The sequence below is a fragment of the Homo sapiens genome, chromosome 12 (assembly GCF_000001405.40).
Source record: "Homo sapiens chromosome 12, GRCh38.p14 Primary Assembly".
Classification (NCBI taxonomy): domain Eukaryota; kingdom Metazoa; phylum Chordata; class Mammalia; order Primates; family Hominidae; genus Homo; species Homo sapiens.
Window position 1 is genome coordinate 67,256,048 of NC_000012.12, and position 26,864 is coordinate 67,282,911.

The window sequence follows — 26,864 nt, forward strand, 5'->3', positions numbered from 1 at the left end:
AGTAAAGGCAGAAACTCACTCCCAGCTAGAGATTGACCAAAAGATTGACTGAGTAATTTATAATCTATCTGGGCCCAAAATGGCATTGGCCCCTTCACCAAATAAAACAGTAATTAAAAATAAGCAACTGGAGGCCAGGCGCGGGGGCTCACGCCTGTAATCCCAGCACTTTGGGAGGCTGAGGCGGGCGGATCACAAGGTCAGGAGATCGAGACCATCCTGGCTAACACGGTGAAACCCCGTCTCTACTAAAAATACAAAAAATTAGCCGGGCGAGGTGGCGGGCGCCTGTAGTCCCAGCTACTCGGGAGGCTGAGGCAGGAGAATGGCGTGAACCCCAGGGGGCGGAGCCTGCAGTGAGCCGAGATTGCGCCACTGCACTCCAGCCTGGGCGACAGCGAGACTCCGTCTCAAAAAAAAAAAAAAAAAAAAAAAAAAAAAAATAAGCAACTGGAGCAGATCGCACCACCTGGCAACTCCTAGCCCCCTTCTTCTCCCGCATTCCAAACCCCTCTCTACAAAAAAACAAACAAACAAAAAAAAAAAACCTGTGCTCCCTCCACCAAGGGAAAGTGGACATTTTTGGAAAGAATCCCACCTGCTCTTATCCTTGCTAACATGGATAATAAAGTCTTGCTCTCTTTCTATCACACCTCATTATTATTTTGACTTCTTTTCACAAACAACAAACCGTGGACCCCTTTTGCTGGATACAATTTTTGGTGGCCAGGACGGAGAGCACCATGCGTTCCCAAGGGGCCCTGGGCTTGCCAGACTGATCCCCTGTCAGACAGGGCATGGAGCCTCCTATGAGTGCCAGCTGCTCGTGGCTAGCTGACCCTGTGGCCAGAACATTAGAGGAGCTCCCAGCAGCTGCCTAGGCACCTTTGTTTCAGGGAACCTCCCTTTCTTTTCCTGCCGTGGCATCTGCTGCTTCCAATGCTTTGCTGATAAAAAGAAAGTGACATTTTGAAGAAGTTGACAAACTTTGGAACTGAGTTGTTGGTGTGCACCCAACCTTCCTCTGCCTCTTCTGGGGTGTTGCTGGGGCTCTGCTCTGTTTAGACTTAGCTGCTGGCATCACCATTTAGGCATTTTTATGCATTTGTACTTGTGACACACTCAGGGCTTTGCTCACATCGACTCAATCATCTAGGAGGACAGGTTAAAATTAAGATATGAAATGTGGAACTCTACCCAGACCCGTATGGGGATTTGTTTGGAAGCAAGCTGTTTGTATACATTTGTATTTGTTTGTATTTGTGGCATCCTCAGGGCTTTGCTCACATCCAACTCTGTCACCTGGGGGGCCGTTTTGTGATATTTGTGTTTGTATGGGCCCTGATCTCTCTCTTTCCCCTTCTTCCAACTTCATCCTCTTGATTATCTTGGAAGCTACCCACAGCCTTACTCCTCTGGGCCCAAAGCACCCTTAACTCCCTCTGGCTGGAAATGGCTCACCTTGACTGGCGACTTGTGGAGGTGGGAGATATTTGTCCCACACCATGTAGGTCTGGGGTGCTAAGGCTCTCCCTGATGGAAGATAAATATGGGTGGGTTGGGGGTACTGACCCCACACCCACAGTAGCTGAAAGGCTCACAAGCCCTCCTGTAAAACTTGACCTCTTTCCTCTCCATTCCTTTCTTTTCTCTTTCCCTTGTTCTGTTCAATCTAGGGGTCTAGCCTTGAAAGGGAAAAACAGTTTCCAACATTCTGGCCTCTAATTTTGTCGTTCTCTTTGAAACTCCAAGTGGTTACATATTATGGCCCATTTCTCTGCACATTTTAAACTGATAGACAAATTACAACAAAAAAATTCAAAGCTCAAAGAGTGAACCTACACTATAGAGTTAAATAGAGTCTTATAAAACTCTATCTTTCTTTTTCCTGCCTGCTTTAAATCTACTGTTACTAAACTGCTAGTACTGAGAGAAGACTCATTATTTATGGCCTAACTACAATATAAACATTAAAACTCATTTAAAGTATATATTTTAAAAAGGTTTTGTTAAACCAAACTGCCATAAAGACTACTTTACCCCAGATTTTGGTTCACAGCCTTGCTTAGATTACCTAGCAGGGCAAACCAAGTTTAGCCATGTGAACAGGTTCCAATTTTATCAAAAAAATAACCTAAGAGTCACCTATCTTTTATATGTCCGTGAGTTGGTGGTGCTGTCTCATGACTAGAGCTCCAAGGTAAAAGCTATTGAATCTTTGTGTATGTACGTATACATGTTTAGCTATGGATACATAATATAATAGTTACATTCTGTCTTGTGTCTAACATACTACCAAATTGACATGTAGGTAAGTGAATACTCATAAATTAATCCCGGCTGGGTGAAGTGGCTCATGCCAGTAATCTCAGCACTTTGGGAGGCTGAGGAAGGTGGACTGCTTGAACCCAGGAGTTTGAGACCAGCCTGGGCAACAGGGCGAAACCCTGTCTCTTAAAAAAATATAAAAACTAGCTGAGTATAGTGATGATGCCTGTAGCCCCAGCTACTCTGGAGGCTGAGGTGAGAGGATCACTTGATCCTGGGGAGGCTGAGGCTGCAGTGAGCCATGATCACACCATTGCACTGCAGCCTGGGTGACAGAGTGAGATCCTGTCTCAAAAAAATAAAATTAAGCCCAAATGCTTTACAAGTTCACATGCACCTTTGATAAATAAGCCTGCCTTAAAAATTATTAACAAAATAACATTTAAAATGTTTAAAAAACTATTAACATATATTTTTGTTTGAGTTTATTGATTAAATGGTTTCATATTCATCTCTGCCAAATATTATTAGGTGTCAAAATTTGGCATAAAAATTATAAAAGTATAAACCCACCCAAAACCAAAATATTTTTGCTTATATAATTTTTAATAAATGAAACACTTAATATTGAATAAAAGCAACTAAATCTTCTAAATGATCAACAAAATGTCCATGTGTTTAACGTTTAAATTCTTAAACACCTTATGTTCATAAACTTTGAAATAGTTAAGAAAAAAATAACTTTAAATCATGACCATCCCTATATAATGTTTTCAAAAGTAATCTAAATAAACAATTAAAATAAAAAATTGAGTATGTATGAGATAAATGCTTATAAGTAAAACTTTGTACATAATTTAAAATCTTAAAATCATTATAGATGCTTATTAAATGTCTGTGCCATTTCCAATTAAAAAATTTATTATATGAAAAACATATTCCAAAATTGTAGAATGGTTCTCATCTATAAAATGCTAAAACTTGGCTGGGCACAGTGGCTCACACCTATAATGCCAGCACTTTGGGAGGCCGAGGTGGGCGGATCACGAAGTCTGGAGTTCGAGACCAGCCTGACCAACATGGTGAAACCCTGTCTCTACTAAAAATATGAAAATTAGCCAGGTGTGGTGGCATATGCCTGTAATCCCAGCTACTCAGGAGGCTGAGGCAGGAGAATCGCTTGAACCCAGAAGGTGAAGGTTGCAGTGAGCGGAGATGGTGCCACTGCACTCCAGCCTGGGCAACAGAGCACGACTGTCTGAAAAAAAAGCTAAAACTACTAAAAAACAGTTTTACATACAAAATATACAAAAAATATATTTAAAAAATTAAATCTGCTTTTAGTAAAAAGTTATAAATGGTATAAAAATACAATTTTTTGGCCGGGCGCAGTGGTTCATGCCTGTAATCCCAGCACTTTGAAAGGCCGAGGCAGGTGAATCACCTGAGGTTGGGAGTTTGAGACCAGCCTGACCAACATGGAGAAACCCCGTTTCTACTAAAAATACAAAATTAGCCAGGTGTGGTGGTGCGCACCTGTAATCCCAGCTACTCGGGATGCTGAGGCAGGAGAATCGCTTGAACCTGGGAGCTGGAGATTGCAGTGAGCCAAGAATGTGCCATTGCACTCCAGCCTGGGCAGCGAGAGCAAAACTCTGTCTCAGAAAAAAAAAAAAAAATATATATATATATATATATATATATAATATATATGTATATATGATTTGTGTTAAAAAATATAATTTTGTCTAATCCAAAGAGTTTTAAAAATTACCTTAACAAAACAAAATTAAAAATTTAAATAAATATAAAAAATTTGTAAAGAGTTCATCTTATTTTAAAAGTTCTATAAGCATAAACAAGTTGACTAAAATTTAAAGGGAATTATTTAGTTTCTCCATAGGTTAAACATTAAAATAAAAATATACTAATCCAGGGCCAAAATATGGGACCGTGTGTCTAAATAACAGGGTTTTCTCAAAAAATTAATCTACTTTTTAACAAAAAATTATAGTTATAAAAATTTTATAAAAATTTTACCTTACAATCATTATAATTAAACAGTTTTATTAAAAATTGGGTTTAACATTAATAATACACAAATACAAAAGTAAAATTTACCTTTCTCTTTTAAACAACACTTTCATATAATATTAAAAACAATAAAAGATTTTTATTTGCCTTTTAAATAAGCAACAAATAAAGAAGAAAAAAAGAGACATGCTGGCTTCATGCTGTTTTTATTGGATCCTATTTAAAAAACAGTCTCCCTCTATCAATGAGTAGAGATTTTTGTCTTAATTATTTTTTATTTATCACTTGTACTAAATAACTGACAATAACCTAAAATTTTATTTATTTTATAATATCAAGTATTTAAGCCTAGAATACTTGACAAACTTTTCAAAGTCAAATTCTAAATTAAGCCTTTTTTCTTTTCTTTTCTTTTCTTTTTTTTTTGAGACAGTGTCTCACTCTGTCGCCCAGGCTGGAGTCCAGTGGCACAATTATGGTTCACTACAACCTCCATCTACCAGGCTTAAGTGATCCTCCCACCTCAGCCTCCCCAGTAGCTGGGACTACAGACGTGCACAACTACACTTGGCTAATTTTTTTATTTTTTTATAGAGACGCGGTTTCCCCATGTTTCCCAGGCTGGTCTTAAATTCCTGGGCTCAAGCAATCTTCCCACCTCAGCCTCCGAAAGTGCTGAGATTGCAGGGGCAAGCCATCATACCTGGCTTTAAGCCTTCTTGTAATCTAATCGACTCTTTAAATATTAAGTCCCTTAAAGTCCAAGAAAATCAATTTAACATTTAATGTATTAAAATTATACAAAAAGATTGTTAAGGATAAAATAGTGTTTGACTTTCTTCTTTAAGCTATATTTACATAAATATATTGTCAATATATATTCCAAAACTATATAAAATTCCTATAATTCTGTTTCAATATATATCGATAATAATTATATGAAGTTATTATGTGCCACAAAAGTAACCAAGCTTTAACCATGATTACTTTAAAACTTTTGTCATCCACAATTGTTTTAATTATTTTCAAAACAATTTTATAATCAACTATAAAACTCTAATAAATACTCTTAAATACAAATATCTAATAACTTTAAAAATTATGCCAGTAAAATAAAAAAAATTCAAGACTCCCATAAAACCTACTGTGTTCATACATATCAAACAAAACAGAAATTAATTACATAAACTATACTATTAAAAAATATTTTTATAACTTTTTATTTAAAACACTGTTAATTCTTCTGTTTTACAAAGTCCAAAAAACTTTTTCTTTTTAGCTATTGACAACTTTCAACAGTCAGATAAAATACACTCCTATAAAGAAAATTTAAGACATATTTTTCTCTAGCTAATCTCTCCAAAATTTACAAACTATTTATACATATACTTAATTTATAACAATATTATTATTTACATAAATTCAATAAAAATCTATTTTCTTTTATAACACAATTAAAAACACTATTTTACCAAAATTTTAATTTAAAAAACATACTTACAAACTACTTTAAAATATCAAAATTAACCTATAAAGCCAATAAAAGCCCCTTAAAAAACTAACCTCATACCTTGTCTATACAGTGTCTATACAAAATTCTTAACCTATAACAAATAAAAAGTGTCACTTTCTAACAGGAACCACAGCCCCAAGTTTTCTTGAGACCTCAAAAGAAAAAATTTGCCCATTTAATACAAATATTTAAAGACACAAATAAACCCATGACTGGACTCAAAACTTCAAAAGATCTAATCTAAAATTCCCTATAACAAAGTTCCAACAAAGCCAATTTTTAAAAAAGCCTATATGACAAATAATTATTCTTACTGACTTTACACAAATACACAAGCCAAATACAATAAAACTAAAACTTATTTTGCCTATAAATTTGTCCTATTATAATTTGTCTTTAATAAAAACAAAAACTAAAAAAAGTTTCAAAAAAACCTAACTATAATACACCTGTAATTAAATTCTAGTCTTATCCACTGTTTTTGAGTTTTTATTATTTTCTATAATTTTAACTAAATCCTAAATTCTTTCTAGAGTACAAATTTCCAAACTAATATTTTCAATTTTTTTCTTTTATTTTTCTAACTTAAACTCAATAAAATTACTACTACCTCTTTCCTGAGGCTTTACAAACTAAAGCTTATTCCTTATAACACAGACAAAGAAAACGTCAAATTACTACTGCCTTCCTCCTCTATAACTAAAAGTACTTTAACATCCAAATAGTTTCCAACATTAATATTTGCTTTTCTATTTCCATAAAAATGCCTCTTAATAAACTTTTTTCTGCCTTCATCACATAAAAAGGCCTAGCCCATGTACAATACTACCTTCTAAATAAAACAACTAACTAAACTAATCCACCCTCATAAACTAAACAAGACTTAAAGCCACCTTCATAAATATTCATATCCCTATTTACAGCCTATTAAATATATATATTAGCCAACGTGTCATCACATCCAATTACAATTAACAATAAAAACCCTACATAATTAAAAAATTCAAAAATGCCTCAAATAGCCCTACAAAATATACACCAAAAAATTAAATCTATGTGCGACCCTACATTGTCACTAAATCAATAGGGGACATTCTAATTCAAGTCAGGACCATGTTAGAGACAAAAACTACTTATAACATTGGCCTGGCCTACAGGGGTAGATATATCCCTGTGTTATAAAACTTACTACTATTATACCCTCTATGTAAAACTGTAAGACAGACTTTCCCCAAAACTTTCTAAACCTCAAACTATAACACTCCAATAAATATTGTCTATAGGCCCAAATACTCATAAATATTTCCAAATCCAAATAAATCAATTCCATTCTAATACCCCCAAACTATGCCCCTTCTCAACAAAAAAATAGCCAAAACAATTATGGCAGCCATTTTCCATACAAATAAAATAAAATTTGACAATAAAAATTACAACCAAACAGCTTAACTTCAAACTGCATTTTAAAACTTTTTTTCCTTTCCAACTTTCTCCCCAGCCTCAAAATATAACTTGAAAATAAACTACAAATGTATTTTACAACCTCAAAATGTTTTCTTTCCTCCCTTCTCCCAATCTCAAAATATAACTTTAGACAAACTATATATCTGCTTCCTTTTGCCTTAAAATACAGCCTCAAAATGTACTATAAATCGCCACTCCCCTTCTTTCCCATACTATACTCCCATGCGTTATGCATATTTATTTACTTACATCCTTGTTAAGTACATGCCACACTGACATATCTAGTCATATATTTCCATTAAAACGTCAAAGGCCAAATCCTAACACAAACCAGACACCTCCAAAATTCTCTCCCCAGTCAAGGCTGAAACTCAATCCCAGCTAAAAACTGACTACAGGCCAGATGCAAAGGCTCACACCTGTTATCCCAGCACTTCGTGAGGCCGAGGTGGGAGGACTGCTTGAGCCCAGAAATTTGAGACTAGTCTGGGCAACATGGTGAAACCCCATCTCCACCAAAAAAAAATACAAAAAGTTAGCTGTGCTGGATGGTGCATGCCTGTGGTCCTAGCTACTAGGGAGGCTGAGGTAGGAGAGGATCACCTGAGCCTGGGAGGTCAAGACTGCATTGAGCCAAGATCACACCACTGCACTCCAGCCTGGGAGACAGAGTGAGACCCCATCTCCAAGAAAAAACAAAAATTGACCATAAAATTGACTGCAATTAATTTGTAACCTAATTAAAGCCCAAAATGACACCAGGGCCTTCACCAAATAAAACAACAATTCACAATAAGTCATTAAAACAAACCGTGCCACCTCATACCCACTTCCTCTCCTACATTCCAAACCCCTCTCTCCTTAAAAATCTCTATCTTCCCTCCACAAAGGGAAGAGTGGAAATTTTTTAAAATTTCACCCATTCTTCCCCTTGCTAACACAAGTAGTAAAGTCTTGCTCTCTTTCTTTCACATGTCATTATTATTTTGACTCCTTTCTATAAACAAATGGCCGAACCCTTTTGCTGGTTACACGTCTAGTTGTTACACTTCCATAGTGCAGATGAAAAATGAGAGGTTACTTGATTTCTTCAGTTTACTCTTTGATGTCAGCCCTCCAAGTTGGGGTATGAGTGGCACAGGAACCCTGAGTTCCAGAATAGCTAAGTGGTGGGACTAGCTGATGATCCATTGTCCTCTGATGAAGCCACATTCTGGAAATGGAACTCCTTGAAAACCTCTTCGATCCACTGCAGGCATTTGCCTTCTCTGACAGCATCCATATCTCCTCACCAAGGATCTGAAGACATAAGTTGCAGAATCTGGTAGACCGAATACAACTTGGGCAAAACAAGAAGCATCTTCCATTCAAGTCCCTGCTGTTTGTCAGTCATGGGGTCAACCAAGCTGGAAATCACCCATACTGCCTCCCATTCAGTGCCTGGATCCATGATGTATTTAAGCACCAACCTCATGGCATGTGTTCCTGCAAGGTGGCACTGCCCCACAGCGATCAGCCCCTCTCTTGCACTCTCTCTTTGCTATTTCATGGCACTCATGTTGAGGCTGTTTTCACTTCACATTGAGCACCTTGGTTCATTCAGGTTCCCTGGGACTCTGACCATGCACCATCATAATATCTACTGGGAATCTCCACCAAACTTTCACACAGAAACCAAATGACATCCTGATGAGAAAAGAATGGACTACAGATGGTCTGAAACAATCTGTTCTTGAAGTATTTTGAGGATTGCCAAGGCAAACGGTGTCCTTACTGAAAGTTCCCCTGCTGCAAATAAAAACTCCATGTTCTTTAGATCCATCGGAAACAGGAAAACATTGGAATCAAGGGTATAACCCCCTACAACCATATCTCGCTGCCAACACTTCCCTTACCACCTGATTTTCTCCAGGATGTTATCTGACACATGTAGAGTTTTGTTTGTTTGTTTTTAGATGGAATTTCACTCTTGCTGCCCAGGCTGGAGTACAATGGTACAATCTGGCTCAATGCAACCTCTGCCTCCCAGGTTCAAGTGATTCTCCCGCCTCAGCCTCCTGAGTAGGTGGGATTACAGGTGTGCGCCACCATGCCCGGCTAATTTTTTGTATTTTTAGTAGAGACGGGATTTCACCATGTTGGCCAAGCTGGTCTCGAACTCCTGACCTCAGGTGATCCACTCCCTTGGCCTCCCAAAGTACTGGGATTACAGGCATAAGCCGCCGTGCCTGGCCTGTTTCTGGCTTTATCTTTGCCTATGACAAGTTCTTTCTGGTTCAGCTGATAGTATTTCCCCCAAATTCAGAATACATAAGAAATCACTGGGAATTTACACCTGATTACCATAGATTCATTCTCTCATATTACAATGCTCAAAGTTACAAGGAGAGATAGTATGTGATTGCAATGTTGGTGTTTCATTAATATTTTCTTAAAGTTAAAATTGTTTTCTGAGGAAGTAGCCAGAATAATAATTCTCTCAAATTCAAAAAACTGTTGGCACAATTTGAAGTCAGTCATCATTTCTAACCAACGTATATTCTTTTTGCTGCCAAGATAGCTTGACAATTTTAATATCTGCATGATGACCTATAATGATAATCCCAGCAGCATTCTGGTGATAAGATCTTAGAGGGTATGTTGAGGAAGAAATACTTGTTTAGGTGGCTTTATCATGCCACTTGGCTTCGAGGTCATTTTTCCTGTCCTGGAGGATTCCCTTAAAGCACTCCTGGGTGATGTTGAGAAAGTGAATGGGTGTTCCACCAAAAATGGCTGCGTGGTAATAAAAATCCCCCTGGCCAAATGGAATGTATGCCACCGACTCCTTCTGCCTCTCCTAAGTATTCTCCTCAGGATGTGTCCAGTACCACCAGGCCTATAGCTGAGCCACGGACTGGCCCAGGGTCTCCACTCCAAAATTGTCTTGGAACACTTGGTCCACATCCATGCAGAAGAGGAAGTCAACTTCCTGTTGGATGTGGGCCAACATGTGCTCCCTGTTGGTCTTCATGCCCACGATGCTGATGACCTGCTACCTCTTCTCGGGCTTGATCTCAAACACTCTGAAGAAACGCAGAGGACCCAGCTCTATCAACAGCATCCTGGATTATCGGCCATGATGTAAAACATGACTTTGTGGCTTACCATGAAGTACCTATCAGCAGATGCTATGAACTCCTTCAAGTAATACTCTACATGTCTTCCGACAGCAAAAACCGTCAACCCACAGTAATTTTCTGTTTGGCATAATAATTTTCTAGGATGGTTCTGTTCTAAGTGCCTTCCCACACAACCGGCTCATTCCAGCTGGTCACCGTCAGCACCTCTGGGCGATCGTATGGATTAAACCAGTTCCATAGCCGAAGCTCTTTTTTTGTCATCTTCTTTTCTTTTTTCTTTCTCTTTTTCTTTGTCTATGTCTTCTTCTTCCTCTGCTTGAGGATTGTGGGTCCCATTGTTGAAGCAGCTTGGAAACCACCGGCCCTTCTGCCCGCCGCCGTCAACAACTTCTGGGTGTTTTAAGTGATACATCCACAAGAGAGAGCCTTCTTGGGTGTTGATACATTTCCAAACCACAACAATCGCAGTTGAGACAACCAGCACTGGAGGAATTACGTTTCCTTTGACATTCATTATTTTCTCCTTATCATCTGCCCAGCTAATTTTTGTATTTTTAGTAGAGAAAGGGTTTCACCATATTTGGCTGGGCCGGGCGTGGTGGCTCATGCCTGTAGTCCCAGCACTTTGGGAGGCTGAGGCCAGTGGATCACCTGAGGTTAGGAGTTATTTAACTCTTAAAACAACCTGAGGTAATATCCTGATCATCATTTACCCACGAAGAAACTGAAGTTGAGAAAGATGAAAATGAATTGCCTATGACACCAAGTAAGTGGCTGTAAACATGATTTATATTTAAGGAATCTGACTCCAAATATTATAGTTCAGCTGGAAATTCAAAAGTGAAAGAATTTACACACAGAAAAAGACAAACCATGATTTGCTTTCTGAGTGGACACAGGCTAAAAGAAAGTATTATTGATAATACCAAATGACTGAGGCCTTGAGGTCCACACATACAAAAAAAGACCTGCTTCTTTGTGTGTGTGTGTGTGTGTGTGTGTTTTACATTAAATATGGTGGAAAGGCTATTCAGAGCAAAAGGCAATTAATTGTGGCTGAAGCACTAAGGACAGTTTGATGAAAGATATATTAATCATGGCAGATTGGTAAAATGAAATATGGCATTACTGGGGAGAAAAAATATCATATATTACGTATATATTATTATTATCATTTTAAGACGTTGTCTCACTCTGTCGCCCAGGCTGGAGTGCAGTGGCACGATCTCGGCTCACTGCAACCTCCGCCTCCTGGGTTCAAGCAATTTTTCTACGTCAGCCTCCCGAGTAGCTGTGACTACAGGCGCGCCACCATGCCCAGCTAATTTTTGTATTTTTAGTAGAGATGGGGTTTCACCATATTGGCCAGGCTGGTCTCGAACTCCTGATGCCCTGATCTGCCCGCCTCGGCCTCCCAAAGTGGTGGGGTTACAGGCATGAGCCACCGCACCCGGCCTTTATATTACATACATTCAAGTAGAAGGATACATGAGAGCAGATCAGAGGTATGTGTGAAATTTAAACACATATTATGAGGCTAAACCAAGTTTCATCTGTTTTATTAACTCCTATTGCCTGACTTTGAAGTACTCAGTAATAGTTGATGAATACAGAAAACAATGGTAAAGGTCAGGTAGATTTGATCGGATTTGAGTTATGTGTTAGTAGAGAGCTATTTAAAGGTTTGTTGTTGTTTTTAACAGGAGTATCAAGTGAGATTGATTTTTCATCTCTTCACCAGGCTCTCTGTTCTTTTAGAAAGGCCTGTCAGCTAGCTCCATCCCTAACACTTTCAGGGATGTTGACCCCTAGCTGGCAAAACTTGTGTTTAAAATCCCAAATATTAAGCAGATGAAAAACTTGGATACTAAATACTTTCATAACTCATCTCCACGAATTTGTACGTCTGAGGGAGCAATACACAGCTGCAGGTCCATCAAGGCCACAAAAGCTAACTACAGAGATAGTCTTTTAGCTATTTTGAAATCAGTAGGGCCTGACTACAGCCATCTGTCGCATACCCATTACTCTTACTAAGGTCCTGCTGGCGTCAGAGAGGTGGTTCTACGATGCACGGTAGGAGTGTGTCTGGCCAGAGAAGTGGGGAGGCTCAGCTGCCTTGGGAGGTGCAAGTAGTAGCGCTAGGAAGCTGCTGCTAGGCCTCTGGCAAGAACACCAACTGATCCGCAATGCGCCTGGCCAAACTGCAGCAGCCTGCTCTGCAAATACTGCATAACAGAAAAAGCCTGTATTGGAGAATATAAGAATCCGCGGCAGAAACGGAGTGCGCGACGATTCTAAGGTTTTTACCCAGCACGGCTCCCCCATCAGACTGCAAATCCCAGCATTCACTCCTTCCACGGGAGCCAATGAGGAAGCTACTAGTTCCCGCAGCCAATCACATTCTGAGCCAGTGTATCACCCGACTGAATTCTGGGATTTGTGGTTTTTACGTGGCAACATTACACCACGGTGGCTACGGCAATGCAGGCCACGCGTCTGATCCCAAACGACACCTCCCTGTTATAAATTCTTATGTTGGTTCCGCAAGCTAACTCCTTAACTGTCGTTACTCCCAGGCTTCCTCCTTCTCAAAGCTCGTAATCTTTTTCTCTTAATGTCATTAAACAATCAAGTTATTTTCAGATTAAGGCCCACTTGCTCCACTCGTCCCCTGTCCCTTAACCGTCGCTTTAGAGTCTCGCGAGAACAGCCCCTTTTTTTTGTGTTGTCATGCCTCCAAAAGGCGGGTCACATGAAAACTGACACAGGCTTCAGCCAACCGAATTGTTTTTTAACTCTCTTCTCCACAGCGTGCGTGGGGAGGCCTCCGTGAACTCTGACCTTAGCTTTCCGTAGCGCCCGCGTCTGCCGCCCCCGCCCCCGGAGCGAAGGAGGCGGGCTTTGGCCTTTTGCCCTAGGGAGCGAGTGCGGAGCGAGTGGGAGCGAGACGGCCCTGAGTGGAAGTGTCTGGCTCCCCGTAGAGGCCCTTCTGTACGCCCCGCCGCCCATGAGCTCGTTCTCACGCGAACAGCGCCGTCGTTAGGCTGGCTCTGTAGCCTCGGCTTACCCCGGGACAGGCCCACGCCTCGCCAGGGAGGGGGCAGCCCGTCGAGGCGCCTCCCTAGTCAGCGTCGGCGTCGCGCTGCGACCCTGGAAGCGGGAGCCGCCGCGAGCGAGAGGAGGAGCTCCAGTGGCGGCGGCGGCGGCGGCAGCGGCAGCGGGCAGCAGCTCCAGCAGCGCCAGCAGGCGGGATCGAGGCCGTCAACATGGCGAGCGCCTCGTACCACATTTCCAATTTGCTGGAAAAAATGACATCCAGCGACAAGGACTTTAGGTGAGGCCGAGATCCGACCCTCACCCCACCTCGGGGTTCTCGCAGCCGCGGCCCTGGCCGTCACGCAGGCCTTGCCCCACCCCTTCGGCCGTAGCCGGTAGCTTCTCTGCCCCGAAGTCTCCAGCCCACCGGTCCGCTGGCCTCCCGATCCCTGCGGAGCCCCTTTCCTCTCCCCTCTTGCAACCCCCTCCCCCCATTCTTTCTCCTAGGCAGTTGCCCGCCGCGGTCTCTAGGCCCCGTTTGCTTGTCTCAGCGCCCCCACATCCTTCCCTGCCCCACCAGGAGGCGATTCTTGCGTCTCAGGTAGCGCGAAGGGGCTAAACCACCCACCATTGTGGAGAAGGGAGTTGCTCTAGGCCGGGAGACCGGGCGCCGGGCCTATTCGCTTGCCATCCTGCGGCGCTAGGCCGCCTTGCTCGCTGGGGCCCAAGCTGCTGCCCACTCGGGGACCCGGCAGCCTCCTCTCTGCCCGCAGGTGCGCGTGGGCCTTGCTGCATTCAGGTGGAATGATGAACTTTTGCGCTCTTGGCTGATACATAGTTCTTTTGTGGATTATTAATTTTCGTGAAGGTGGGAAGAAGGGGGAGGGGAGCCAGGATGGAGGAAACTTCGCTCATAGGGTTTTCCCGCCAGCATCACTGTCAGTTCCTCTTGTCAGGTAAAACCAACTTAGGAACTCGGGGTTTCAGTCTCATGTCCTCATATCCAAAATCACTGCCAAAGGGGTGGATTGCTGGATCTTAATCATAGCAGACGGATCTTCAAAAGGAAGAGATGTTTAATACGGACCTGGTGAATATGAAGCTTTATTACAGCAGTTCTGTTCAGGAGATCGGTACTGTTGGTTCCAAAGTGTTGTAATATGCATAGTGAAGATTTGTTATATTTTTACAGGTTATCTTTGTTTTTATTTTTCCTTGCACGCTTCGGTGATTGTTGCATTCTTTCCCGCCTCCCATCTCTTCACAAATAAGTTCTCAATCTAAAAAAAAAAAAAAAAAGAAAAAAAAATCGCTTATTTCCTTATACCTGTTTTGTTCTCTAATGCTTAGTGGTTGTAATTTGGGTGCATTTTAAAGGAAATAACAAATAGTCTTCAACTAAAATTGTGACTAAAGAGCTTGTTTGTTTTGTATGAACAATATGTTTTAACACTTGAAAATGTGTCCAAACCGTGTGGACTGGGAAGAACTTTTCGGATTTGTGAAAGGAGAACCATGAAAAAGTAGTAATTGTGTTCCTGATTAAATTGATATACTGGCTTATTAAAATAATCAATGACCACAAAACCACGTATTACTTTAAAAAATATTTCTACCTAGGCAGCTCTTAAATGTATTTAAAACTTAAAAATCATTTCGCTAATGGTAAAAATTTTAGTATTGTAACTTTTTGGAGGTGACATGTTTGTTTTGTGTGTTTTAGATTTGTGTAGTTCTAGGGCCAAAATTAAGATTCTTGGGGGAAATAAAGGTTTTGTGTTGTTTTACGGATTGGAATGCCGTTTGATTTTTGGGGCTTTGCTTGCTTCCAATTCAAGTAATGGATGAGGTGTGTGGCGTGATTTCCTCCCCATTGCTGTCAGTTTGGCTCATCCTGTAAAGGTGGTAAATTTCATTCTGATTGTGGTCAATTTCAGTCTGAAGGTAGCACTTTATAATAATACAATTTTGTTCAACTAGTCATTCTCCTGTATAAGTTTAGAAAGGCTAAAGAAATTATGTGGTGATACCATACATGTGATTATTGACTGAAGCTTGCTTTCTTAAATTTCCTGTGAAAGAAAGATAACATGTACATACCTAGTTGTTTTTTTCTTAAATAAATTACATGAAAGAAATAGTGCTCTGATACTAAATGACAGTCACTGCTGAATTTGGTAAAGATTATGTATGAATTTTGGTTGTACTGAATCAAAACAATTCCTGGAGGATTAGTGTAATATTGATATATTCCTAATAGTTGGTGAATGCTAAACAAGGTATATTTAGGAGCAGTACGTGATTTCCAGTAATTTGGCATCATTAAGATATTTTTATCAACTGTCTTCTAAAAAACATTTTTATAATGCGCTGTAGCCATCTAGTTAATAAACAAGTCTTTGGAACTAAAGCACTTTATATGTTTAGTTTAAACAGACATTTAATAATTAATTAGTGAGCGTTTGGAGTCAAGAATTTTGAAATTTTTTCTGCATATTTTTAGTATAGGCATTTATTTTAATTTGCTCTTTTTTAAAAAAATGATGCCTTGTTCTCATTAGAAGTTTATTTATTTTGGCTTAAATACCAAGATTTGTGGCTACATATTTTAAAAATACCTAGCACTAGAAGGATCTTGAGGGCAAGGTTAACATTATGGAATGACCAACATGTGCAAAGCACTCTGCCTGTACTAAGGACGAGAGAAGAAACAAATGCTGCCAAAATGAAGAGCAAATTTTATTATCCTCATGGTAGAATCCAAAGAGAATTTGACCTAGTCACAAGATCTGGGTTCTAATCATGTGTGATTCTTTGTTATGAACTGTAAGATCTTATGCAAGCTATTTAATTTGAGATTACATTTTCACTTCTGAGAGGCATGGACATGACTAATTACAAAAGGTTGTTATAGGCATAAAATTTCAGGTCTATTTATATAATTACATAGTTCATTAATACAGAGAAGGTAAAGAAATGAATGCAGGCTTAAAAATTTGGAAATTTCTGCATTTTAAAAGAATCTTTTTGTAGGACTATTAAGGCTCAATTTATTGAAAAATTGTAATATTTCTTTTGTGTTTTAGTATTGTGCATTATTTAAAAATGAGATATTAAGACTTAGGAGAAATGGGGAAGCATTAGGATGAGAAATGCTGAGATTAGGAACTCTGCCATATGCAGGGTTTTTGTTGTTGTTGTTGTTTTGGTTTTTTTTGTTTGTTTTTTTGAGATGGAGTCTTTTCTGTCGCCAGGCTGTAGTGCAGGGGCGCCATCTCAGCTCACTTCAACCTCCGCCTCCCAGGTTCAAGCAACTCCCTTGCCTCAGCCTCCCAAGTAGCTGGGATTACAGGCACACACCACCACGCCTGGCTAATTTTTTGTATTTTAGTCAAGACGGGGTTTCACCATGTTCGCCAGCATGGTCTCGATCTTCTAACCTCGTGATCCACCCGCCTGGGCCTCCCAGAGTGCTGGGATTACAGGCCAGCACCGCATCCACCCATGCAGGGTTTTTTGTTTGTTTGTTTTAAAAAAAGGAGACTAGGAGCTCTTTTATTAAAAAAAGGAGGAGGCATTTGTGTGTCTTAATTACTAGGATAGTGCCTGTTACTTACTAGCCTCGGTTTAGTGAAAAGTTATTAATGAATGCCAATTCAAATAAAACCTTCAGAAGAAAAATGAAGAAACATTCCTTGGGACAGTACCTTAGAACAGTGCTTCTCATCACTTCCTCCCTAAAAGAAACACTTCTGGAGTGTACTGAGACTTTTTGCCAGAAAACATTTGTACCAGTGTATATAGTTATTTTAAGGACCTCTAGGGATGCATGTTCCATAAAGGAATAAAGAGTAAACCTTATAATGTAGCCAATAGATAGGGGATTCGGTTGATACCAGAGTGAAAGCTTTAATGTGGATGAACCATGTGACACTCCATTTGTGAATATTAATATTGAATATTTGGTAGGTTGAGGTAACTAAGTTCTTTTCTTTTTTTTTTTTTTTTTTAGAGATAGGGTCTCGCTCTGTCACCCACGCTGGAGTGCAGTGGCACCACCTCAACTCACTGCAGCTTCAACCTCCTGGGCTCAAGCGATTTTCTTCCCACCTCAGCCCCCAGAGTAGCTGGGACTACAGGTGCGCACCACCACACTCAGCTAATTTTTTTTATAGAGATGGGTATCACCATGTTTCCCAGGCTGGTCTCAAACTCTTGATTTCCGGCAATCTGCCCACCTTGGCCTCCCAAAGTGCTGGGATTACAGGCTTGAGCCACTGTGCCCAGCCACTTCTTTTATTTTCATATTCTTCAACCACCAGTTGATTTAAAATATTCCAAGGAATCAAGAGCTAAAGAAAATATCATTATCTTTCTATATATAATAGTTAATATTAATGCTTACTGTGAGCTTGATTTTTGTTTATCCTTACAACTTTAGTAAAAGAGGATAATAATAATCTCGTTTACAGTTGAAGAAACTGAGATTTGGAGAGATTAAGTACTTGTTTAAGGTCAGTTAGATAGTAGGTCTGGGACTTATAGGATCTCTTTACCCCCAGAACATGAACTCTTGACCACCCAGCTATGTCACTTCTCCAGGGTTTAGACTAGTGGATGTTAAGATTCAGGCCTTAAATTTCATTTCCCTCTAAAATTAGGCTTATAGAATATTTCATGCTAGAAGATGCTTTTAATAATTCCTGAGGACTACAAAAAGTTTAAGATCTGGTGCTTACTTTCCCTAAATCTACATGCTTGTTGAATAGTTAAGACACTATTGTAAAAAGATGAATAACCCAGGGCAATATGTAATTGTCAGGCATTAAGTGGCAGAGAATATTAAAGCAAGAAGATTCATGTCCATGGAGAGATTTGAGCCAGGTGTTGAAAATGAAACTCTAGATAGAAAGTGAAAATGTAAAGCACACGATACAAAACTTCACTGGGGAAGAGGGAATAGATAACCTGACTGTAGCTGGATGGATATTGTCCACAGAACTCCTTAAGAATAGGGACCTTGTCTTACTAAACGGAATCGTTCTCTTTGTCTGGCTCTGGGCCATGTGGGTTCTCAGTAGGTGCTTGTTTAAGTAGAATTGGGTTTTATTTCCATTATATAGGGATTTTAGGAACCTCCAGAAAACCATTGTAAAATCAACTAAACTGTTTGTTTAAATACCACTTGATAGAATCTTCTTAAAATAATTCACCCCATTTTGGAATGCAAGTTTTTCCCAATTTGATAAAGGTTTATATTACCAGATTTATTTATTTAAGTGTTTTGGATATTGGACGGTATTTTCTTTTGGAAACTGTTTAAAATGCTTGTAAAAAAAACTCAAGCCTTTTAAGGAATCAGGTTTTCAGAGCTGGAAGGAACCTTAGAGATCCTATCATATAGCTGAAAGTACAGTGTGGGTGGGCATTTACAATAACATAACAGGAAATAGTGAAATTATCTTAAGTACTTGTGCTTGGAGAAAAGCAGGTTTAATCAGAAGAAATAGATTTGCAGAGATTAAGAAGGTGATTTCTGGGCACTTTTAAAAATACTTAGAAGGTTGATGGCAGTAACTTTCTTGATTTTACTTTGATGTTTTTTTCTTGATATATACTATGCTAACTGGTTATCAGCAGTGATTAGGGCTCACCACTGAGAAAGAGGAGGAAGGGACCTCACAGAGAAAACTGGGAAGAAAGATTAGTAAAAATTAGATTTCTTTACATGAACAATATTAAGACTATTCCAATTTAGGTCTTGTGTGGTGGCTCACGACTGTAATTCCAGCACTTTGGGAGGCCAAGGCAGGCAGATCATCTGAGGTCAGGAGTTCATGACCAGCCTGGACAACATGGTGAAACCCCATCTCTACTAAAAATACAAAAATTAGCCGGGCATGGTGGTGCATACCTGTAATCCCAGCTACTCGCGAGGCTGAGGCAGCAGAATTGCTTGAACCTGCGAGGCAGAGGTTGCGTGAGCAGAGATTGCACCACTGCACTGTGGCCTGGGTGACAGAGGGAGACTGTCTCAAAAAGAAAAAAAAAAAAACTGTTCCAACTTAATTCATAGCACTCTAAGGAATAACTGAGGAAAAGTGAAATAGCAGTGGTGTATGTGCAGGATCTCTGAAAGGTAATTGGTGTACTGAGTGATAAAATTGACCATATCAACTAGATTTCTGGTTGGAAGCAAGAGTAAAATTGTGTTTATGTATGATGGGAGAGGCTGTGGTGAGAGTTATTGTGAGTGCAAGGTATCTATCGATCTAGTGCATACCTAGTGTAAGTTCCAGACTGTGTTACTCATCACTGTGTTTGCAGAGTAGAGTTCCTTATGTTGGTGCCCTCAAAATACTTGTTGAATAAAGGAATGAGATGGCACTGCCTACAGGTCATATCAACCTGGGAATTCCATTGAAGTCTGAAACGTAAACATTTATCTTTTTCTTTTCCCGTCTTAATGCCTTCTTTATCCTTATTTTGGCCTGTTAAATTACCATCCACTGAAAGTCACAAGCAGAAAATCTTTGATATCACCCTTCTCCCGTCTGTCTTCTTTAGTCTCCTGATGAGTATTTCTCAAATTAATCTTGCTGTCTCAGGCCTCTTCCTAACCCAGTTTGTTCCCTCTGGCCATTAGAATTTTCTTCCTATATACTGCAGCTGATCATTGCCTCCCTCACTAATTTCCATTGACTACAAGATAAACTCCAGATTTCTTAGCTGTTGCCCATCTGAATTCGTAGAGACTGCTCTCCTAAAATCCCCAACAGTCTCCCTAGTCTCCTAATATAACTCATTTAGTGGATATTTTCTTTGCTCATCTATTTGGTATATTTTTTTAAATCACTTTTTCCTTCTTGGAATTCTCTTATATGGGCATCCTGACACGAGTTGGGTTTTTGTCCGTAATAGTCAGGGAAAACACACACTTTAGGGTATCAGAGGATGTTAGAAGGAACCTATTCATTTGGGTAATTTGGGAAAGAGTCTAAGGAAGTGAAGCCTTGCTTTAGGTTGAGTGTTGTCAGAAAGTGAGGTCAATTCTATGATTCGGCCTCTTAATAAATTTTACAGGGAGGGCTGACCTAAGCAGGGGGAAAGCTGTAGTTGGTAAAGAAGTATCAGTCACTCATTTAACTGGAGAGGGGAATGTTTGGTATTTTGTATTGCTCAGGGACCTTGTCCGAAATGGATGTTCTGTGAGATTGTTTATGTCCAAGAAAACAATATGCCTTAGCTGTTAAGCATCAGATCGGTTAGTAATAACACTGAGGTTTAGTTATGAGTCTCAGATAAGTTTCTGGAATGTGGAGGCTGCTGTTTTTTTCTTTATCAGTGCCCACTTTTGGCCAAGGGTAGACAAAGTTGGGCTGCAGGACATTAATTTTTGATTTTCACATCTTCACTATGGCGGAGATTTTGTTAAGATCAGAGGAATATCCATTCCATGTAGTTTGCAGTTTAACCAAAGTTAATCCTTTCTTCTGTTGTAAGATGAGCAGTTTATTCATCTGATGTGACAATGGCTGCAGGGTAACATTAAGACTCTGGACAAGGATATGTTAGCTGACTGTATTACCCAGTCTTGTGGTTTTCCTTTTACTTCTTTCCTGCTAGCTCATCCTTACCATCCCTATATCTAATCCATTTTGAAGAACTATTAATTTTAGTTTGTAAAATTCAAACCAACTAGTTCTCATTATTTGTAGTATGTTTTGTAACATTATCACAAACACTGAGTTAGCAAGTACTGAACCATTGCTTCTGAGGGAATTATGGAATTAGTTTCTCTGAGTCCTGAGTCACATTATTTTAATCAGTTGATGAGTTTGTAACCTCGTTTTATGAGTGTTTCTTTTAAAGTTGTCTTAATATATATTGCTGATTTATTAACATTGAATTCACAGCCAATAAAGAAGCTTATCTAACACATATGTTTTTTTCAGAAGGCACATTATAGCCTTCTTGCACTTAGGAATGCTAGACAGCATTTCAGCACTGTGCTTGGAGGCCATATTAAACAACAAGAGCGCCAAGAAAAAGCACAAACATGTGAAAAACATGGGCTGAAATAGGCCAAGAAGAAGATGCTTGTTTACAACATGAGAGCTGGAGCTAGAAGGCAGAGTGTTGCTTTGTGCCACCACAGCTGGGAATGTATGTGTTGGATTACTCAAAATTTTCACCACTCGACACTCATCCAAATGACTGTGAAATAGGAAGCATTAATTTTGCTTTACAAATAAATGTTAATGAGTAGGTGAATTTGCAAATATGGAACCTGGGAATAATGAGAATCAACTGTATGTCATTTTTTTTTCCATCTTCATTGATTGCCATAACCTAAGTCAGGCCATCATAATTTCTAACTTAGTCATTCTCCTAACTAGTCTCCATTCAGTATGGCCAAATGAAGATTTGTTCTCTCCAAAGTATGGTCCACAGTATAGCTGGAGTAATGTTTCTGAAATGTAAATCTGATCATTGCATTTATTCCCCATCTGTAACCCAGTTGTTTTTCAGTAGCTTCCCACTCTCTTAGAATAAAGGCTAAAATCCTGATATGGTCTACAAATCCTTTAAATTCCTGGCCCTTGCTTACCTGGCACTAACTTCCTCCTGCTTCACCGTAATTTTGCCTACTCTTTATTTATTTTTGAGACAGAGTGTCACTCTTTTGCTCAGGCTGGGGTGCAGTGACGTGATCTTGACTCACTGCAACCTCCACTGCCCGGCTTCAAGCGACTGCCGCCCAGGTTCAAGCATTTCCCCTGCCTCAGCCTCCCAAATAGGTGGGATTACAGGCATGTACTACCATGCCTGGCTAATTTTGTATTTTTGGTAGAGACGGGGTTTCACCATGTTGTCCAGGCTGGTTTGGAACTCCTGACCTCCACCTGCCTAGGTCTCCCAAAGTGCTGGGATTACAGGTGTGAGCCACCATGCCCAGCTCCTACTCTTCAGATCAGTCTTTCCTGACACAACCCGCAGTTCAGTCTAGGTCATGTTACTTTGTTTATATGATAGTGCTTTCTTGTTTTGGGATGAATCTCACTCTGTCACCTAGGCTGTAGTGCAGTGGCTCAATCTCGGCTCACTGCAACCTCTGTGTCCCAGGTTCAAGCGATTCTCCTGCCTTAGCCTCCCAAGTAGGTGAGATTACAGGTGTACACCACCACACCCAGCTAATTTTTGTAATTTTAGTAGAGACAGGGTTTCACCATGTTGGCCAGGCTGGTGTCGAACTCCTGACCTCAGGAGATCTGCCTGCCTTGGCCTCCCAAAGTGCTGGGATTACAGGCGTGAGCCACTGGCACCTGGCCCCATAGTGTTTTCTTGATAACACTTTCCTTCATAGCATTTATCTTAGTTCTTAGTTCTACAGGTGCTTACTCATACATGCAATTTAAAAAGTTAATATGCCTTTTACTAGACTGCAATGTAAGCTCCAAGACAGCAAGAATTGTGTGTGCTTTGGTTAGCCCTTATATCAGCAAAAACTAGTACAGTACCTGATATGTAGTAGGTTCTTATTACACAGTGTATGAGTATATAACGCCATTCCCATTTTGACCTCAGCCTATATTCCCATCATCTTCCTATTAGGTTTCTGTGCTCCACATACTGAACTGTTTCCTTAGTCCTTCACTCTGAGGTGCTCTGTCCTTCCCCACCACCAAAAAAAAAAAAAAAAGTAATTTAAATTCCAAACCAATTTTTCCCATGCAAACCCCTGTTCATCCTTTGAGATCCAACCTAACAGTCAACTCTTGGGTGTGATAATTTCCATATGCTCTTGAGTAGTGTTTTATAAAATGTATTGAGATCTGTGCCCTTAGCACCATACCTAAAAGAGTAAATGCTGAAGAGACATGGACATGCCATGGACAGCTTTCAAACTGGTCAAACAGCTTCCTTAATAAGATTAATAGTGTAAATTTTTAATACCACATTTATAGAAGGAATAAATTATTCCCAGAACTTTGTGATTTCAGGGTCACCATTTAAAAGCAACTCTTGGTATTATAATAATCTACTTTTTCTGCTTTTTAAAAATATCTATTGCTAATTTTGATAGTGCTCATTTCAACTTTTTAAAATATTTAACCATTAATCATAGATTTTTGAAAATCAGTAGGCTTCTTTATTACAATATAAGTAAGCTTCTTGATGTTAGGGGGGCCAAAGTGTATTCAACTTTTATCTGTCCTGATTTCTTAGTCCAGAGTTTCTTACATAATAGACAGTGAATAAATAAACAATAAGTAAAGAATGAATTTGTGCCGGTAGAACCATACAGGACCATAAAACAACTTTTTACTTGGGATTATGTTTTTCTACTTAAATTGATGATCCCTGTTTTCTCTGGAAGCAGGTAACTGGCACTGCAGTGGTTCTTAGAGGTCATAACTATTATGGTTATTTAATGGATTTTGTTTAAGTAAAACAGTTAAGATTTTTTCAGTACTTTGTGTGCAGGAGTGCCTGCATTAATGTGTTATGCAATTTTTCCACTTTCCAGAATATTAATGAAAATTAGTCATGTAGTTTTAATTTTGTTTTGTCACATTATAAAATGGGTGAGGGGCTTCCAATTAGGAGAGCTGTGTCCATTTTTTAAAAGTACGTGCTTAACTGATCTTGTATTGCCCTAATGCAAATATAAGCTTTTTTAAAAATAAGCAGTTTTACAGAACGTGGTAAGAATTAAACTATTAGGTTGGTGCAAAAGTAATTGTGGTTTTTACCATAATACCTACTTGCATGTAGTGTAAAACTTTGTCAGATCAGCATTAAATGAACGTACTAGTTATTGGAATTATCCTTAAAATTGCCTTACATGTAATGCATTTCTAAATTATTAAGTTGTTTTGCCAACCTTTACCACACAGTTTATTTCCCATGTTGCGGACTATCTCCATAGCTGTTTATCAATTCAGCTCCAATAGTTGTTTTTTTGTTTAAACATGGATTTTGACATTTCTCTGTAGTGTACAAAATAACGTATTTTTACTAAAACTGTATCTGGTTCAAATAAAAGAAAAAAGTGTTAACTAGTTATCTTAGTTGGATTGCTTCTGTAAGTGGAGGGGAGCCAAGAATTATGGGACAAGTTCATTTGACTTTTAAGGAGGTCTTAGGGCTTTATTTGAATGTGATTATCTCATATTCTGAGAAATCACTTTTAAAACAATGAATTGTTTGGTAAGGCATGTGGAGAAGAAAATCTGAGATGCCGTTTATACCTTATTTTACCTGAGACTCTATTTATCTTGGCCACCATTCAGTCCTTTTCATTTAAAGCTGAGATTAGATGATTGATCACTCTGGGTTTTTGCCAGGCAACACACTGTTAAACCTTCCTTTGGCAGTGGTTCTTAAGGGGAGGGGAGGTGGGCGATGTCAGGGGGAAGAGCTACTTTTTAGAATCACCTCTTCACTATTTTGAAAATAAGCCTGGTGGCTGGGCACAGTGGCCCCTGCTTGTAATCCCAACACTGTGGGAGGCCGAGGTAGGTGGATTCCCTGAGGTCAGGAGTTCAAGACCAGCCTGGGCAACATGGTGAAACCCTAAAATACAATAATACTAAATTATTTTTTATAAATTATTTCTTATAAATTATAATTATTATAAATAATACTAAATTATTATTTTTGTATAGTAAATACTAAAAATACAAAAATTAGCTGGGCGTGGTGACAGGCGCCTGTAATCCCAACTACTTGAGAGGCTGAGGCAGGAAAATAGCTTGAACCTGGGAGGCGGAGGTTGCGGTGAGCCGAGATCCTGCCACTGCACTCCAGCCTGGGCGACAGAGCAAGACTCCCTCTACAAAAAAAAGAGAATGAAAAAGAAAATAGGCCTGATACCTAGTGATGGGTATTTTGGAAAATTTCCAGTAATATGTGATCATCCCCTGCAATGCAACGTACTTGTTTTGAAAGTGTTCTTAATGTTTGGAAGGTGTTCTTAATGTTTTTGGTTAAGGGCTTCCTAGATAGAATTCAAATCTCATGTAAAGAAAAAGTAAAGAGGAACTTTTCTCACCTAAAAGCAGTGATGCAATTAATTAGAATGAAAGAGTACTCACTGTAGGTCCTGGTAGTCAATTTGAGATCAAGACTGACCTGGGGAAAATAATTTTGGATAGTGGTACCTCATATAAAAGCATATCAGTACTTAAAAAGTCTCACCGTCTCTCTGGATACAATGAATTTTAAGTACATTATTGCTCTTTTCCTTGGTAGCTTTTAGATTAAATTTATGATCACTTTTTTTAAAAAGTGGATGAGTTTTATAATAAAAGATGTTTCTGTTGAGTGAATGGTATAGCAGTGGATTTGAAAAATCATTATCTTTTTAAATTAATGCTTTAAAATTTTCAAATTAACAAATTTTATTTTTTTGATAGGTTTATGGCTACAAATGATTTGATGACGGAACTGCAGAAAGATTCCATCAAGTTGGATGATGATAGTGAAAGGAAAGTAGTGAAAATGATTTTGAAGTTATTGGAAGATAAAAATGGAGAGGTACAGAATTTAGCTGTCAAATGGTAAGTTGTTTTTTACTGGTTGAGTCTTTCTTCCTGCTCCCCCAACCCTGTTTTTAAAAACTCTATGATAAGTAGTAAATTATCTTAGCCTTGTACTATCTCTTTCTAGTGTGTGTGTGTAGAATTTTTAGGTGACTAATGTTTAGTGTTTGTATATGGTATATATAGTGTATTTCCTTACAGCATATAAGTTACTAAATGGTATTTTCTTTTAATTCTTACGAAGTGCATGTAGGGAACTCCAAAAACAATGGTTCTCTCATTTGTTTCACTATAGTCTACATTTTTAGTTGAGTTAAAGGCCTACTTTCCTCTATGTATCTCTGTATTCCAGTGGGGATGAAATTTTAAAATGAAATGACTAAGGAAAATTAAAAACTAATAATAATAACATTCTTTTTTTTTAAGGCAGGGTCTCACCTTGTCTCCCAGGTGAGAGTGCAGTGGTGTGATCACAGCTCGCTGCAGCCTTGACCTCCTGGACTAAAATCCTCCTGCCTCATTTTTTAAAATTTTCTTGTAGAGACAAGGTCTCACTCTGTGGCCCAGGCTGGTCTCTAACTCCTGGGCTCAAGTGATCCTCCCACCTTGGCCTCCCAAAGTGCTGGGATTATAGGCATGAGCCACCATGCCCAGCCAAAAAACTACTAATAATAAAATTCTTAATAAAGAATAGCAGCAGTTAAACCATAGTTAACTCAAAACAACACTGATGATACAATATATATATCATCAGTTGATACAATATACATATGATACGATAGTTACAGAGAGTCTTTTCTAAGAATTATGGAGATTCTGATTGTCTTTGTGTATACATTGCAGTGGGAGCTTCTTGCTATGCATGATGTTGGCAGT

The 26,864-nt window shown here is 39.2% G+C and overlaps 1 protein-coding gene and 1 pseudogene across 4 annotated transcripts in view, besides 5 other annotated features; one reads left to right on the forward strand and one right to left on the reverse strand.

Moving 5' to 3' along the window:
* On the reverse strand, positions 9,792-10,915 carry GGTA2P (glycoprotein alpha-galactosyltransferase 2, pseudogene; annotated as a pseudogene).
* Positions 12,447-12,746: an enhancer, noted in NCBI's record as "active region_6623". NCBI's record gives its function as "activates an Ori minimal core promoter by ATAC-STARR-seq in GM12878 lymphoblastoid cells {active_cell/tissue: GM12878}" and the evidence as "EXISTENCE:reporter gene assay evidence [ECO:0000049][PMID:35858748]".
* Positions 12,887-13,146: an enhancer, noted in NCBI's record as "active region_6624". NCBI's record gives its function as "activates an Ori minimal core promoter by ATAC-STARR-seq in GM12878 lymphoblastoid cells {active_cell/tissue: GM12878}" and the evidence as "EXISTENCE:reporter gene assay evidence [ECO:0000049][PMID:35858748]".
* The window catches only part of CAND1 (cullin associated and neddylation dissociated 1), a 50,596-nt gene continuing 37,042 nt past the window's right edge, over positions 13,311-26,864 (forward strand). For 2 of the 4 annotated variants that reach the window (NM_001329676.2, NM_018448.5), the window contains exons 1-2: positions 13,311-13,738; positions 25,863-26,006. In NM_001329676.2, coding sequence (NP_001316605.1) covers positions 26,004-26,006 — 3 coding nt within the window. In that variant the 5' untranslated portion in view covers positions 13,311-13,738; positions 25,863-26,003. Of the gene's footprint in view, positions 13,739-17,452; positions 17,580-25,862; positions 26,007-26,864 lie in introns of all 4 variants that reach the window. The other 2 variants (NM_001329674.2, NM_001329675.2) reach the window with 2 other exon arrangements.
* Positions 13,426-14,077: an enhancer, noted in NCBI's record as "NANOG-H3K27ac-H3K4me1 hESC enhancer chr12:67663253-67663904 (GRCh37/hg19 assembly coordinates)". NCBI's record gives its function as "activates a minimal SCP1, AML or CMV promoter by ChIP-STARR-seq in naive H9 embryonic stem cells {active_cell/tissue: H9 hESC(naive)}" and the evidence as "EXISTENCE:reporter gene assay evidence [ECO:0000049][PMID:30033119]".
* Positions 21,932-22,433: an enhancer, noted in NCBI's record as "H3K27ac hESC enhancer chr12:67671759-67672260 (GRCh37/hg19 assembly coordinates)". NCBI's record gives its function as "activates a minimal SCP1, AML or CMV promoter by ChIP-STARR-seq in naive H9 embryonic stem cells {active_cell/tissue: H9 hESC(naive)}" and the evidence as "EXISTENCE:reporter gene assay evidence [ECO:0000049][PMID:30033119]".
* Positions 22,434-22,933: an enhancer, noted in NCBI's record as "H3K27ac hESC enhancer chr12:67672261-67672760 (GRCh37/hg19 assembly coordinates)". NCBI's record gives its function as "activates a minimal SCP1, AML or CMV promoter by ChIP-STARR-seq in naive H9 embryonic stem cells {active_cell/tissue: H9 hESC(naive)}" and the evidence as "EXISTENCE:reporter gene assay evidence [ECO:0000049][PMID:30033119]".